General features: G+C 36.7%; 1 protein-coding gene across 34 annotated transcripts in view; it reads left to right on the top strand.

The window, feature by feature from the left end:
• The window catches only part of KIAA0586, a 134,691-nt gene that overhangs the window by 16,145 nt on the left and 102,861 nt on the right, over positions 1-15,685 (top strand). For 32 of the 34 annotated variants that reach the window (NM_001244189.2, NM_001244190.2, NM_001244192.2 and 29 more), the window contains 7 exons: positions 410-631; positions 4,796-4,949; positions 7,035-7,202; positions 9,806-9,929; positions 13,158-13,266; positions 14,215-14,435; positions 14,929-15,001. In NM_001244189.2, the coding sequence (NP_001231118.1) occupies positions 410-631; positions 4,796-4,949; positions 7,035-7,202; positions 9,806-9,929; positions 13,158-13,266; positions 14,215-14,435; positions 14,929-15,001 (1,071 nt within the window). Of the gene's footprint in view, positions 1-409; positions 632-4,795; positions 4,950-7,034; positions 7,203-9,805; positions 9,930-13,133; positions 13,267-14,214; positions 14,436-14,928; positions 15,002-15,685 lie in introns of all 34 variants that reach the window. The other 2 variants (XM_024449780.2, XM_024449791.2) reach the window with 1 other exon arrangement.

Raw genomic sequence — 15,685 nt, forward strand, 5'->3', positions numbered from 1 at the left:
CCCGAGTAGCTGGGACTACAGGCCGCACGCCACCATGCCTGGCTAATTTTTTGTATTTTAGTAGAGATGGGGGTTTCACCGTGTTGGTCAGGATGGTCTCGATCTCCTGACCTCGTGATCTGCCTGCCTTGGCCTCCCAAAGTGCTGGGATTAGAGGTGTGAGCCACCGCGCCTGGCCAATTTTTTTTTCTTTTGTTTGAGAGGAAACATTTACCTAAGGATAGCTATCTTCTGCCTTTCATTTCTGTGACTCTAAAAATAAAGGCATTAAATCATTAGACATTTAGTGGGTAAAGGCTCAAATTAGATCACTTATCAATGCCAATTGATTTAAATAACATTTCTAGTAATTAGACATATTTTTGGTATCCTATAATGTGAATTTTTAAAAATGTTTTTATTGTTTTAGGTGCAGAGTGATTTGGAAGCAAAAGTCAATTCTGTTACAGAATTACTTAGTAAATTACAGGAGACTGATAAACACCTGCAACGTGTTACAGAGCAGCAAACAAGCATTCAGAGGAAACAAGAGAAATTACATTGTCATGATCACGAAAAGCAAATGAATGTGTTTATGGAGCAGCACATAAGGCATCTTGAAAAGTTACAACAACAACAAATAGATATTCAGGTATCTGTAATAAATCCAGTACAGATTCCATAATCTTTTATCACTTGGATCTCTCAGCCAGTATTCATTGATAATTACAGTAGCTCATTAGATTGTAACAGTTTTAGTTCTGAAATCATGATTTGCTTATCTTTCTTCTCCTGTAATGCGGGTAACTCTGAATGTTATATCTCAAATGTCACTAGTTGTGTGAGACCTCTCCCTCTAGTTGGCTTTTCCTCCTTTTACACTATTTTTGTTCATATCATTTTTATTATTTATTTTTTGAGATGGAGTTTGCTATGGTTGCCCAGGCTGAAGTACAGTAGTAGAATCTCCAGTCACTACAACCTCCACCTCCTGGGTTCAGGAGATTTTCCTGCCTCAGCCTCCCATATAGTTGGGATTACAGGCGCACACCACCACGCCCAGCTAATTTTTGTATTTTTAGTAGAGGTGGGGTTTCACCATGTTGGTCAGGCTGGTCTCTAACTCCTGACCTCAAGTGATCTGCCTTCCTCGGCCTCCCAAAGTGCTAGAGTTACCTGCGTGAGCTGCCATGCCCAGCCATATTTTTAAGTGCTTATATCATATTGCAACTATTGGTTTACGTCAGCAGTTTTCAGTCTGGGAATGTGCACTAGAATTACTTGAACAGCTTTATAAAAATATTTGTGCTTGGCAGGCCAAGCTAAGAGGATTGCTTGAGGCCGAGAGTTCAAGATAAGCCTGGTTGATGTAGCAAGACCTCATCTCTTAGGAAAAAAAAAAAAAAAAAAAAAAAAAAATTTAGCCTGGCATGGTGGCATGTGCCTGTAGTCCCAGATACTTGAGAGGCTGAGACTGCCGGAGACCTTGAGTCCAGGAGTTTGCAGTTACAGTGAACTATGATAATACAACTGCACTTCATCCTAGATGACAGAGTGAGACCCTATCTCAAAAAAAAAGAACTATATACACACACACATACATACACACACACACACACACACACATATACACATACACAAACACACATGCTTAGGCCTTTCAGTGATTTTGAGCCAGCGATTCTGAGGTAGTGCCTGGCAATCATTGAAAGCTTCATAATGATTCTGATGCACACCGTTGGATAAGAACTACCTGGTGTACATGTTTGCTTTTGCATTTAATTAATTAAAATAATGAACATTTTTAATGCCTTTTGAGAGTAAGGCACTGGGCTATTATAAAAAGCATTATCCTCACAAGGAGCTGTAGCATACTTTCTTATTTATTTTGGAATTTCTTTTTCTTTCTTTTTCTTTTTTTTTTTTTTGAGACGGAGTCTAACTCTGTTGCCCAGGCTGGAGTGCAGTGGTGTGTTTTCGGCTCACTGCAACCTCCACCTCCCAGATTCAAGTGATTTTCATGCTTCAGCTACCCGAGTAGCTGGGATTGCCAGCCTGCGCCACCATGCCCAGCTAATTTTTGTATTTTCAGTAGAGACAGGGTTCTACCATGTTGGCCAGACCAGTCTCGAACTCTTGGCCTCAAGTGATCCACCCATCATGGCCTCCCAAAGTGCTGGAATTACAGACGTGAGCCACTGTGCTCGGCCTATTTTGGAATTTCTAACTCCTAGAACACGACTTAGCACTCAGTAAACTCTTTTTTTTTTTTTTTTTTGAGTGAGTGAGGGAATGATCAGCATTGTAAATGTGTTGGTTTTAATTTCCTTTTTTTTCTAATATGAAATTTATTTATTTTTTTGAGACAGAGTTTTGCTCTTATCGCCCAAACTGGAGTGCAGTGGCGCAATCTCAGTTCACTGCAGCCTCCGCCTCCCATGTTCAAGCGATTCTCCTGCCACAGCCTCCCAAGTAGCTGGGATTACAGACGCCCACCACCATGCCCAGCTAACTTTTTATATTTTTAGTAGAGATGGGGTTTCACCATGTTGGCCAGGTTGGTCTCAAACTCCTGACCTCAGGTGATCCGCCTGCCTTGGCCTCCCAAAGTGTTGGGATTACAGAAGTGAGTAACCGCGCCTGGCCTACTGTGCATTTAAAAACTTAAAAAAATTAAAATATAACATTCAGGCTGGGCACAGTGGCTCATCCCTATAATCCCAGCACTTTGGGAGGCCGAGGTGGGTGGATCACTTGAGGTCAGGAGTTCAAGACCAGCCTGGCCAACATGGTGAAACCTCATCTCTACCAAAGATACAAAAAATTAGCTGGGCATGGTGGCACATGCCTGTAGTCCCAGCTACTCAGGAGGCTGAGGCAGGGGAATCACTTGAATCCGGAAGGCAGAGGTTGCAGTGAGTTGAGATTGGGCCACTGTACTCCAGCCTGGGTGACAGAGCAAGACTCTATCTTAACAACAACAACAAATGTATATATATGTGTGTGTGTATATATATACACACACATATATGTATATATCTATAACTTAATGACTTTCTAAATTATATATTTTTTAAGACAAAAATTCAGAAGAATGTACTAAAATAAGTTTATTATACTTAATATATCATCATAAAGTAGACATTAATTTGCTATAATTTTCAAGACTTAACAGGGTTTATCTTGAGCTTTTCATGTGGTTGAAGATAATATTTTATTGGAATGATTATATGCATACCAAGTAAAGTTTAGTAAGTACTCCCTGCATGACTAAAATTGAGCACGCAGCAAATTATCTAGTGAGAGACCAGGAATGAGTCTATAAACTATTAGTTTATAGATAACTTTACTTCTTTAAGCCTCAATTTCTTTACCTAGAAAATATTTTCTGTTGTTCAGGATAAAATGAGATGACACATTTGAAAAGCACATTGATTCCTTAAGGAGTGGCTCCTACTTAGTCCTAAGTACTTACCTGCCATCATCCATCCTTCCATAACTAAATCTGTAACTTAATGACTTTCTAATTTTGGAAGAATGAAATCTGCTAATTTAGATGTCTTACTTATAAAGCTTATAATTACAGAGAGAGTTGAAGTTTTGTTTACATACTGGATATATTAGTTGTTCAGTAAATGCTTAATGAAATGAAATTAGTTGAGTCTGTTTCATCTGTTTTATGTAGAGGGATCTCAACACACTTTTAGAAATTCTGTAAAACTATAAATTTTTTTAGGTTTTTCTTGGCCTGGCATAAAACTCTATTTTGATTATTACTCATTGCATGCCTGTATCAAAGTATTTCATGTGCTCCATAAATATATACACCTACTGTGTACTCACAAAAATTAAAACAAAACAATAAAACCCTCTTTTTTGAAACCAGTTTTATTAGTTAAGATACTTGCTCATTTCAGATATTTTATTTTATTTTATTTTATTTTATTTTATTTTGTTTTATTTTATTTTGTTTTTGAGATAGAGTCCTGCTCTGTCACCCAGGCTGGAGTGTAGTGGCACCATTTCGGCTCACTGCCACCTCCGTGTCCCGGGTTCAAGTGATTCTCCTGCCTCAGCCTCCTGAGTAGCTGGGATTACAGGCTCCCACCACCACACCCAGCTAATTTTTGTATTTTTAGGAGAGACGGGGTTTCACCATGTTGGCCAGACTGGCCTCGAACTCCTGACCTCAGGTGATCCATTTGCCTTGGCCTCCCAAAGTGCTGGGATTACAGGCTTGAGCCACTGCACCGGGCCCCATTTCAGGTATTTTAATAAATAGTGCTGAAAACTATGTTGTCACTCTAGTTTCCATTTATATACAAATGCATATATTATTGCTGCTGCTAAGCATGGATGTTTATTTGAGTACTCACTATCAATGATTTTCAAACCTTGACCTCAAACAAAATCCTACCATTTAGGATATAAAAGATGGGATGTTTTGGTTTAAAATTCTCTGATTCAAGTAGAGGTTTAGGGTGAGGGCCTCTCCTTCCTGGTCTTCTCTTAGCCGGCTGCAATGGCCCCTGAGCCATGTCTGTGGTAGAAAGGACAGCACTGAGGTTTAGAATGGTTAAGGAAAATGATTAAGGTCACACAGCAGAGTCAGGCTTAGTCAGATCTTTGTGCTTCTACATCTTTCCAATGGCATCACTGCTGCTACTACAGTGGATACTTGCAATGTAATACATATTTTTCATTGTTTATTAAATGCAGTAAATTATGTTTAACTCCTCTAATATTTCAATGTATTTTATCATCTAACTCTTTCAAATGATATTTGAAAATAATAAAATAATCTTATTTCTTCTAGACTCATTTTATTAGTGCTGCACTCAAGACTAGTAGTTTTCAGCCTGTTAGTATGCCCTCCTCCAGAGCAGTGGAAAAGTATTCCGTAAAACCAGAACACCCTAATCTTGGTAGCTGTAATCCATCTTTATATAACACATTTGCTTCCAAACAAGGTAAAAATATGTAGTTCTCTATGAATAAAAAATGTCAGCTGTGAATTTTCTTTGTGCTACATAAGCTGAAAACATATTTCCTGAGCAGTAGGAGTTTTTGTTTTATAAAATTTATTTATAGGAGTTTTTGTTTTATAAAACAATTTTTTTAAATGTTCTTTTTTTAAAATTGTGTTTCTCAGGCTACCTTGTCTTAGATAAAATGAGTTCTTTTTTTGCGTCAAGTAATTTTTAGTTTATTTTGAAATTTTTTAAATTATGGATTATGTTCTTAACTGATTTTAATTAATCTCATAAATTATCAGAAGCACTTATAAATTTAGAAAAAATTTACTTATTTACTACAAAAATGCTTGTAAATAAATCAGTTCTCCTGTTCTCTGACAAACTGCATATTTGCTCTTTCTTGATTCTGTCAGAGCAACTACCTGAGTACATTTTTAAACCATTTCTAAATATTTTCAGAATTAGTAATGCAAGTCTGCTTATCTTGATTGAATTTTAAAACTCTATAATAACAAAGGAATACATGGCTTACTTGTTAAAACTTTAGTATTTAAAATAAATGAATAAATGTTTTTCTAAGTTATTGATATTTGAATAATGAACTAAAGAAAATCGAGCTACTATCCCTTTAATGATATACAGATCTATATAGTACAATATTTTCAGCACTTGATTTGTTAGAACAGTGTTGTTTTACAGTCATTAAAGATTGCTCATGCTTTTAAGGTGCTTTACATTTTGCAACAAATGAGTGGTCCTTACAAAACTGTTGTGCCCAGCACTTTGAGAGGCCAAGGTGAGAGGATCACTTGAGTCCAGGAATTCGAGACCAACCTGGGACATATAGTGAGATCCTGTCTCTAGAAATAAAAATAAAAAATTATCCAGGTGTGGTGGCACATGCCTATAGTCCCAGTTACTTTGGAGGCTGAGGTCGGAGGATTGCCTGAGCCCAGGAGGTAGAAGCTTCAGTGAGCTGTGATCATGCAGCTGTACTCCAGCCTGGGTGACAGAGCAAGACCCTGTTTCAAAAACAAAAAAACAAACAACAACAACAAAGAACTGTTGTGAAGTAATATGAGTCCATTTTTAAGTTATGAAGAGAGGACAGTGAAGCACAGAATGGTGTGACTTGCCTGCTCAAGGTTACCTGACTTGGGAGGGAGGATGTCAGAGCTAGGGCCAGAACTCAGCTTTCAGTATGACCCAGCTGAGTGCCTTCTATAGCAGTGGACACTTTTTTCATAACTCAATTCCAGAGAATTTCTTGCTGATAATTTTGTTTTTCTTAAACTTGAGTTTTCATGAAAAAGGTGTCTATTTTGTTGATTGTAAATTGAATTTTTCTTTGTATATATAAATTACAGTAACAAATAAAAGAAAATAAAGAGTAAAAATTCAGTAAATTAAACTTTTAATTTTTCTATGCTTTTTCTTGGGCAAATATCATGTTTACATATTTGTAATTGTAGCATTTTATACAACTTTTTTACTAGCACATAAAAAGATTTGCCATATTTTATATAGTTGTCTTCATAATTTTAACTTGTAATGACTAAAGGGTGGCCTATTGAATAACTATTTTACAATCTACTTGACCATTATCCTGTTTCGGATACTCAGGCAGTTTTTAGGTTTTCATCTTCATAAATAATACTGTAATAAACATCATATTTAAAGCACATTTTCTTTCTTTTATGTTATTTCCTTAGAATAATTTCATAAGAGTAAGATTACTAGGTTAAAGTATATAAAACTTTAATTCTTCCTATACTTATTGCCAGATGGTTTATCAGTTTTCACTGCCATGAAAAGTATCTGGGCCTGCCAGTTTCACCGCAGCTTCAGTAGTTCTGAATATTATCATATAGATTCGTATTTACTAGATGTAAGTGTACAATGTTTGTAGTCTTCATTTCTTTTGATTTTTAATGGGGTGAAGTTATTTCTCTACACTTAATAATTTGTTCATCATTTATAATTTTGAATTTATTTTTAAAGTATAGGCAAGAGTAATATGCTATAATTTTTAAAGCTTTTTAAAAGCAAGTTAAGTTTTTAAAAAATTTTCTGTTAAAGCACCTTTAAAAGAAGTTGAAGATACGAGTTTTGATAAACAGAAATCTCCTTTGGAGACACCAGCACCTCGCAGATTTGCTCCTGTACCTGTTTCAAGGGATGATGAACTATCAAAGAGGGAAAATCTTTTGGAAGAAAAAGAAAATATGGAAGTGTCGTGTCACAGAGGTAATAGAGACTTTTACTAGACCTATCCCAAATTAGGAAATTGTCATGAGATTTTCTGTGCCTAGTAGTAACTGAAGTGGGATCTCTATTTGTAATATTTTACTTTAAATGACCCTTGCTGGGAAAATCAAGCTTCTTTAGATTCTTTGTAAAAGGGTTTGGAGGTATACATTTATAATTATTTTATCTTTTACAGGTTATTATTACTTAAACCTTTAATGAACAAGTTTTGTTAACTTTTTTTTTTTTTTTTTTTTTCTGAGACGGAGTCTCGCTCTGTTGCCCAGGCTGGAGTGCAGTGGTGCGATCTCGGCTCACTGCAAGCTCCGCCTCCCGGGTTCACCCCATTCTCCTGCCTCAGCCTCCGGATTAGCTGGGACTATGGGCGCCCACCACCATACCTGGTTAAATTTTTTGTATTTTTAGTAAAGGCGGGGTTTCACCGTGTTAGCCAGGATGGTCTCGATAAGTTTTGTTAATTTTTATTTATTTTTTATGAGACAAGGTCTCACTCTGTCACCCAGACTGGAGTACAATGGCGTGATCATGGCTCACTGCAGCCTTTACCTCCTCAGGCTCAGTTGATCTTCCCACTTCAGCCTCCTGAGTAGCTGGGACTACAGGTGCACGCCACCACACCAGGCTAATTTTTGTATTTTTCATAGAGATGGGGTTTCACTATGTTTCCCAGGCTGGTCACAAACTCCTGGGCTCAAGCGATCTGCCCGCCTCAGCCTCCCAAAGTGCTGGGATTACAGATGTGAGCCACTGTGCCTGGGCAAGTTTTGTTATTAATAAATAAAAAACAATGCTTTGCTGAAGGTAAGGCTGATCATTTTTAGAGCATGCTTCCTCATATTGTTTTTAGGTGTGAATTTCAATAATAAAACGTAGAGAAACTTAACATTCATCACCATGTTCACTTGGAAAAAGTGCTAATATATGAACTTTTTTTGAGATGAAGTCTCGCTCTGTCACCCGGGCTGGAGTGCAGTGGCACCATCTCAGCTCACTGCAACCTCCGCCTCCTAGGTTCAAGCGATTCTCCTGCGTCAGCCTCCCGAGTAGCTGGGACTACAGGCGCCCGCCACCACGCCTGGCTAATTTTTTGTATTTTTAGTAGAGACGGGGTTTCACCATGTTAGCCAGGATGGTCTCGATCTCCTGACCTCGTGATCCACCCACCTTGGGCTCTCAAAGTGCTGTGATTACAGGCGTGAGCTACTGCGCCCGGCCATATATGAACTTTTTAACACAGAGCAAGAACTTTTATAAGGGACATGTATTAACCAAACATCATATGTTCTCACTCATAAATGGGAGCTAAGCTATGATAATGCAAAGCCATAAGAATGACACAATGGACTTTGGGGACTTGTGGGGAAAGGGTGGGAAGCGGGTGAGGGATAAAAGACTACAAATTGGGTTCAGTGTATACTGCTTGGATGATGGGTGCACCAAAATCGCACAAATCACCAATAAAGAACTTATTCATGTAACCAAATACCACCTGTTCCCCAAAAATCTATGGAAATAAAAAAAATTAAAAGAAAAATAGTATATTACAGAGTCTTAAAATGTACCCCTTCTAACAAAAGTAAGTGAAATATTAAACTAAACACTTTAATTCTTGGAATCATTTAAATGCATGCAGGTCTTATCTTAGACACATTTAAAGAATTTTAAGAAAGTCACAAGATAATAAAATCTTTAATAAAGAAGGCAACCTCACACCAAAAATTATTATGTAGTCTTACTACATACAAACAAGGCTAAAGGATAGATCCACTTATTGGTACTTTGAAGAAATAGATAAATCTCTTCTTTACTAATTTATAAAAGTCGTCTATTTTACTGGACTTCGTGATGATGACACTTATCAAATTCCTTTTTTCTGTGATGGAAATAAATGTAGGGGTTTTTCTATGAATTCAACCTTTTACTTACTTGTTTATGTATTTTTTTGTAGAGACAGGGTCTTGCTTTGTTGCCCAGGCTGGTCTCAAACTCCTGGCCTCAAACAGTCCTGCTGCCTTGGCCTCCCAGAGTGCTGGGATTGCAGGCATGAGCCATTGCGCCTGGTTGTGGTATAGTTTTTATGAGGTGTAAATATTTAGTTTTATTTGATGAGTGTATTTATGGCCTAAATTGTAGGCTACTTTGTAGGCTATAAATTTTTTTTTTTTTTGAGATGGAGTTTCACTCTTGTCGCCCAGGCTGGAGTGCGATGGTGTGATTTTGGCTTGTTGCAACCTCCGTGTCCCAGGTTCAAGCAATTCTCCTGCCTCAGCCTCCCAAGCAGCTGAGATTACAGGCACGCACCACCATACCCAGCTAATTTTTTCTATTTTTAGTAGAGACGGGGTTTCTCCATGTTGGTCAGGCTGGTCTCGAACTTCCGACCTCAGATGATCCACCCACCTCAGCCTCCCAATGTGCTGGGATTACAGGCATGAGCCACTGCGCCTGGCTTTTAGGCTATAAATTGAGTAGATAATCATCATAAGAAGCTAACTTAGGCCAGAATACAAATATGTGAGATATTATATACAAGAGAAATGAATTAGTATTTGGAAAATGATACTATATCTCTTCTATTTCAGGAAATGTAAGACTATTGGAACAAATTTTGAATAATAATGATTCTTTGACAAGAAAAAGTGAATCATCAAACACCACCTCACTAACTAGGTCAAAAATAGGATGGACTCCTGAGAAAACAAACAGGTAAAAACAAGAGATTGGAATGAAAACTAGATTGAAAAGAGTTTTGTTAAGATTTTTCAAATTTCTTTGGGACTTTTAATAAATTATAGCATTGCTTCTTAAATTTATCTTAGATTTAGTTACTATTTTTTGATGCTAATATATCTTCCCCCTTTCTATAATATAGCTATGAAATGAATATCTCATTTTTTCAAAATGCAGGTTATTAATTTCTAACGTATGGATTATTCATTTCTGATTAAATGATATCTAGGATTTGTTTCAAAAATAATCCAAGATAGGTTAGGGGCAAGTAAGTTGGGAGTATAGATAAAATGAGGCTAGCCAAAAGTTAATGATTGTTGTAGTTAAATATTGGGTGTATGGGGTTCATTTTAGTATTTTCTCTATTTTTGTGTATATTTGAAATTTTACATAATAAAAAGTTTTAAAAAAATCAAATCTGGGCCATGATAATTATATTTATCTTCAACATCTTAAAAACTACAGTAATAAGAACTAGAGGAGCCATATGTTGAGTAATTTTATGTGGAGATATTGTATAGTCTATTTACATGTAATGTAATTACTGATAAGGTAGGATTTGTGTCTACCATGTTGCTTTCTATATGCCTTAGGTCTTAGTTCACTGTTCCTCCCTTAGTGCCTTCTTTTGTATTAGACATTTTCTGGTTGCACCATTTTAATTCTTTTGTCATTTTCTCTACTATTATTTTTTGAGTTATTTTCTTCGTGGTCACTCCAGGAATTACAATTAACATATTAATTTAAAGCAATCTAATTTGGATTAATAGTGATTTAATTTCAATATTATTCAGAAACTTTGCTCCAGTAAAGCCTTGTTCCCTCCCCTTTTCTTCTATTATTATCATACAAATTACATCTTTATACATTATAAGCTCATCTATGTAGTCTGATAATTATTACTTGATGCAGCTCTTTTAAATCAGATAGGAAAAGAAAAGAGATATGAACAAAAATACATATACTGGCTTTTATATTCAACTATATAGTTCATCTTTAACAGTACTCTATTTCTTCATATGGATTCAAGTTAGCCCAGTGTCCTTTTATTCCACCCTGAAGGACTCCTGATAGTATTTCTTATAGGGTAGGTCTGTTAGCAGTGAATTTTCTCAGTTTTTGTTTATCTGGTACTGTCTTAATTTCTTTCTCACTTTTTCGTTGTCATTTAAACAGACATTTGGTTTCTCATAGTTGTGGAAGCTGGAAGTTCAAGATCAAGGTGCTGGCCGGGTTGGTTTCTTTTGAGGCCTTTCTTCTTGACTTGCAGGTGGCCTCCCTCTTGCTGTCTCTTCACATGGTCATCCCTCTCTGCACACACACCCCTGGTGTCCCCTCCTTCACTTTTGAACAATAATTTTGCTACATACAGAATTTTTGGTAGATGTTCTTTTTCTTTCAGCATTTTGAATATGTCACCTGACTGCCTTTTGGACTCTGTGGTTTCTGATGAGGAGTTGTATGTTGGTGTGCTTGATGGTGTCCCACAGGTCTCTAAGACTTAATTTTTCTTCATCCATTTTTCTTTCCCCAATTATCCTCATATTCCTTTCCTCATAATCTCAATTAGCCTGTCTTAAAGTTTGTTGATTCTTCTGCCAACTCAAATATGATGCTGAGCCCCTCTAGTGAATTATACATTTCAGTTGTTATATTTTTCAACTGCAGAATTTCTGTTTGTCTTTTAAAAAAATGTTTTCTATCTCTATTGATCATTCTATATTTGGCAAGACTTCATTCTTATACTTTCCTTTAATTTTAAAACTGGTTTCTTTTAGTAATAGCTGATTTATAGTCTTTGCCTAGTAAGTCTAATATCTGGGATTCCTCAACAGCAGTTTCTTTTGACTGTGCTTTTTTCTGTGTTTGGGCTCTACTTTCCAGTTTCTTTGTATGTCTCATAAATTTTTGTTGAAAACTGGGCATTTTAAATAATACAGTGTGGCAACTCTGGAAATTAGATTCTTTCACCTCCCAGAGTTTATTGTTGCTAGTTATTGTTGTTGTTGCTGTTTGTTTAGTGACTTTCCTGGACTAATTCTGTGAAGTCTGTATTCTTTGTCATGTGCTCCCACTGAAGTCTCTGTTTTGTTAGCTTAGTCTGCCAGTGATTGGAAAGAGATTTCCTTAACTGCCTTGAACTGATAAGTCTCCCTCTCTTTGCCATGGATTACGTGTGTGTGTGTGTGTGTGTGTATGTGTGTGTGCGAGTGCATGCACATGCATGTGCTAGAGCATGCCTCCAGTGCCTGGCAGATTATGAGTCTGTTTTAGCCTTTCACTTCCTACTTGCACAGAGCCTCAAGGTCGGAAGTGAGTGATTAGGACCTTCCCAGGTCTCTCTTGGGCATGTACATAGCCCTGTATGTGGACTAGAAGGCATGACCTTCTAGATTCCTAGGAATATGTTGGAGCTTTTCAAAACTCCACTTTGGACATTTCATTGCCTAGATTTTTAACATTTGTTGACCACAATCTTGTTTGCCCCAACTAGTGTCACTACCTCACGCTGCTGAGATGTTAAACAATTGCCACCGTTTTTTGAAAAATGCCCTGGGGATACTTTCTCGCTGAGCTAGCAGTGAGTCAGTTCAAATAAAGACAAACACTATGAATGAGACTTTTAGGAGAGCTTGAAACCATTCTACTGTCTTTAGTGGTTGTGAGGCTGTTGGTTTTCGAGGCCGCCACAGAGTTGGGAATAGGGTCCCGAGAATGAGGCAAGTTAAAAAAATTCCATAAAGCTTGCTCTTCTTACCTAGAGTCAGCCATTTTTCTTGAATAAATGCTCCTGGGGTTCTTGCAAGTCTTTAATTTCCAGAGGTTAGAAAAACTTGATTTTGATGATTTTTGCTAGGGTTCTCATTGTGCTTATGGAGAAGCAGATTTTCAGAATTTCTTACTCCACCAATCTGGAAGTGCTTCTGGATGTTAGCTTCTTGAAAGCATAACCTTTTCCTGCTCCTTTTCTGCTACATCTAAACTTTTCTGGTTAGATAATTTTGTCTCTTGTGATTTTCTGTGTTTCATTTGTTTAATCACATAACTGATTAATTCCATAGTTCAATTTTAATAGGATACCATTTAGTAATATAGCTAAGACTGTATCAAAGATTTGTGTAATGAAATGTTTACTGAATTTACAACAATTTAGGAAACTTTTTCAAAAATCTTCTGTAGCGTTGAAACTCTACCTTCTCAAAGATTTCCTTCCTGTGAAGAGCTAGAAACAACTAAAGTGACTATGCAGAAGTCTGATGATGTTCTTCATGACCTTGGCCAAAAAGAGAAAGAAACAAATAGCATGGTCCAGGTAAAGTGGGAATGGTCTTAAAATTGATGATTAGTTAAGATAAAAATTAAAAAGGAATAAAAGAGTTATAAAGATAGAAATTAGGAGGAAGGATGAAGAAAAAGCACTGAAAAAGATATGTCAGCCACATCTGTTCCATTTATAAAGTATTTCCAGAGGCCTTCACCAAGTGATTTCTACTTATCGCTCCTTGACCAGGACTGAGCCATATAGCCACCTCTGGCTTCCCAGCTTCTGTTGGAAAGGGAGGAAGGGGAAAAGAGACCTGTGAGTGAATGGACTTCATTTATCCAATCCACAATGTCTGCCATTTCTTCCATACATAAAGAGCCAACTTGCTTATATTTTACTTTATTTTGCTTTCTTCAGCAGAGAGAGAGAGCTATTATTGGTCGCTGGACTGCTTAGCACTGCTATGGATTTCTCACCTCTATTTTATTTAACACTCACATTAGTTTTTTTTCTTTTCTTTTTTTGAGTCAGAGTCTTGCTCTGTCACCCAGGCTGGAGTGCAAGGGTGCAATCTCGGCTTACTGCAACCTCCACCTCCCGGTTCAAGCAATTCTTCTACCTCAGCCTCCTGAGCAGCTGGGATTACAAGGGTGTGCCACCACACCTGGCTAATTTTTGTATTTTTAGTAGAGACAGGGTTTCACCATGTTGGCCAGGCTGGTCTTGAACTCCTGACCTCAGGTGATCCACCTGCCTCGGCCTCCCAAAGTGTTGGGATTACAGGCGTGAGCCACCATGCCTGGCCCACATTAGTATTTCTAAATGGAGGAAAAACACTTTGATTGCCAAGTATTCTTTTGTAAGTCTTCAGTTTGACAAATTGAGTCCTTAGAATATATTGGTATAATGTATGGCCTCAACAATAGTGATAGCTGTTATTTTGATTAAAGGAATCGTTGTGAGTTTAGTAACTTTCTGGTCTTTTTTTCTTTTAAGCCAAAAGAATCTCTGAGTATGTTGAAGCTTCCAGATCTTCCACAGAATTCTGTTAAGCTTCAAACAACCAATACAACAAGATCTGTATTGAAAGATGCTGAGAAGATTTTGAGAGGAGTACAAAACAATAAAAAAGTACTTGAAGAAAACCTGGAAGCTATTATTCGTGCAAAAGATGGAGCTGCCATGTATTCGCTTATCAATGCTTTATCTACCAACAGGTAAGAGGATGTTGGCATCCAGGGTTATTTATGAGTCTGTCAGTTCCACTTTCTTCATAATTTTTTTCTAAGCACTGTATTTTCCTATTAGTTTTCATATTTTTAAAAGGTTCTTTATTGACTTTGAAGATGTGGAACTTATAAAGTTGGAATTTGGATATATATATATGGTGGTACTACTTTTTTCTGGTGGAAATTTTTCTTTTAATTTTTTCTTTCTTTGGTACATATCTTCTTGGATCCACATGTGCTTTTCAAACATTTATCCTTCAAATATTTGATGAAAACTAATACCATGAAAACAAATAGCAAAGGTTTTTCCTTTTCAGATGAAGGATATTAGGCCCCCATTCTACTATCCTAATATCCTTTCCTTTTCAGATGAAAGATATTAGGATAGCAGGTTCACAACTAGATAAGAGTTAGATCTGATCCAAGTCCTGCTCAGGACAGTAAGTGCTAATTTAAGAAAATTCCTTTTTCTCTTTTATAGAGAGATGTCAGAGAAAATTAGGATCAGAAAGACAGTGGATGAATGGATTAAAACTATTTCTGCAGAAATTCAGGTATGTCTTGGAAAAAAACTGAAAATTAAGTGAATTCTCAGAAGATAATATTGATTCCAATTTACAGGCATTACATTTGTTTTCAAAATATTTCTTATATAAAAATCCACTTATTTTTAATTTAATTGTCACTCTTTATATTTACTTAGTAATAAGTTTAGCTTTGTTTAACAAGTATATTATCTCCACTTATATTCTGGCTCTTATTTGGCAAATTGTTGGACAAAAACTAAAACATGAATAATCTGAAAGAAAATTTAGCAAAAGTGTTTGGAAAAAGAATTATACTTGCAAAGATATTTGAAGACAGTGGATTTAGGAGCATTGACCCGCCAAAGTAAAAATACCAGAGTAATGCAAAGAGAAAAAAACCAACGAGATTTACTAAGTTTACGGAAGTCAGTTCCAGATGGAAAAACAGCCTCTTTCTCACAACCACAATGGGCATGGTACATCTTCAAACATCCAGCATTGGAAAAGTCTGGGAGTTATCTTTCTTAGAGGGTCCATAATTTAAAGGAAATTTAAAAATTTTATATATTTGAGTGAGCGGAACTAGGCAGGCTAAGGTGTTATTTTGTCCTGGGGTGCAAGGTGTGTTTTTTTGACTGTAGATGTGCTTATATGCTACTTACAAGGGTAGCAAGGTGAAGCATCAGTACTGTTTCCATAGCAATAAACACA

Source organism: Homo sapiens, chromosome 14 (assembly GCF_000001405.40).
Source record: "Homo sapiens chromosome 14, GRCh38.p14 Primary Assembly".
NCBI lineage: Eukaryota > Metazoa > Chordata > Mammalia > Primates > Hominidae > Homo > Homo sapiens.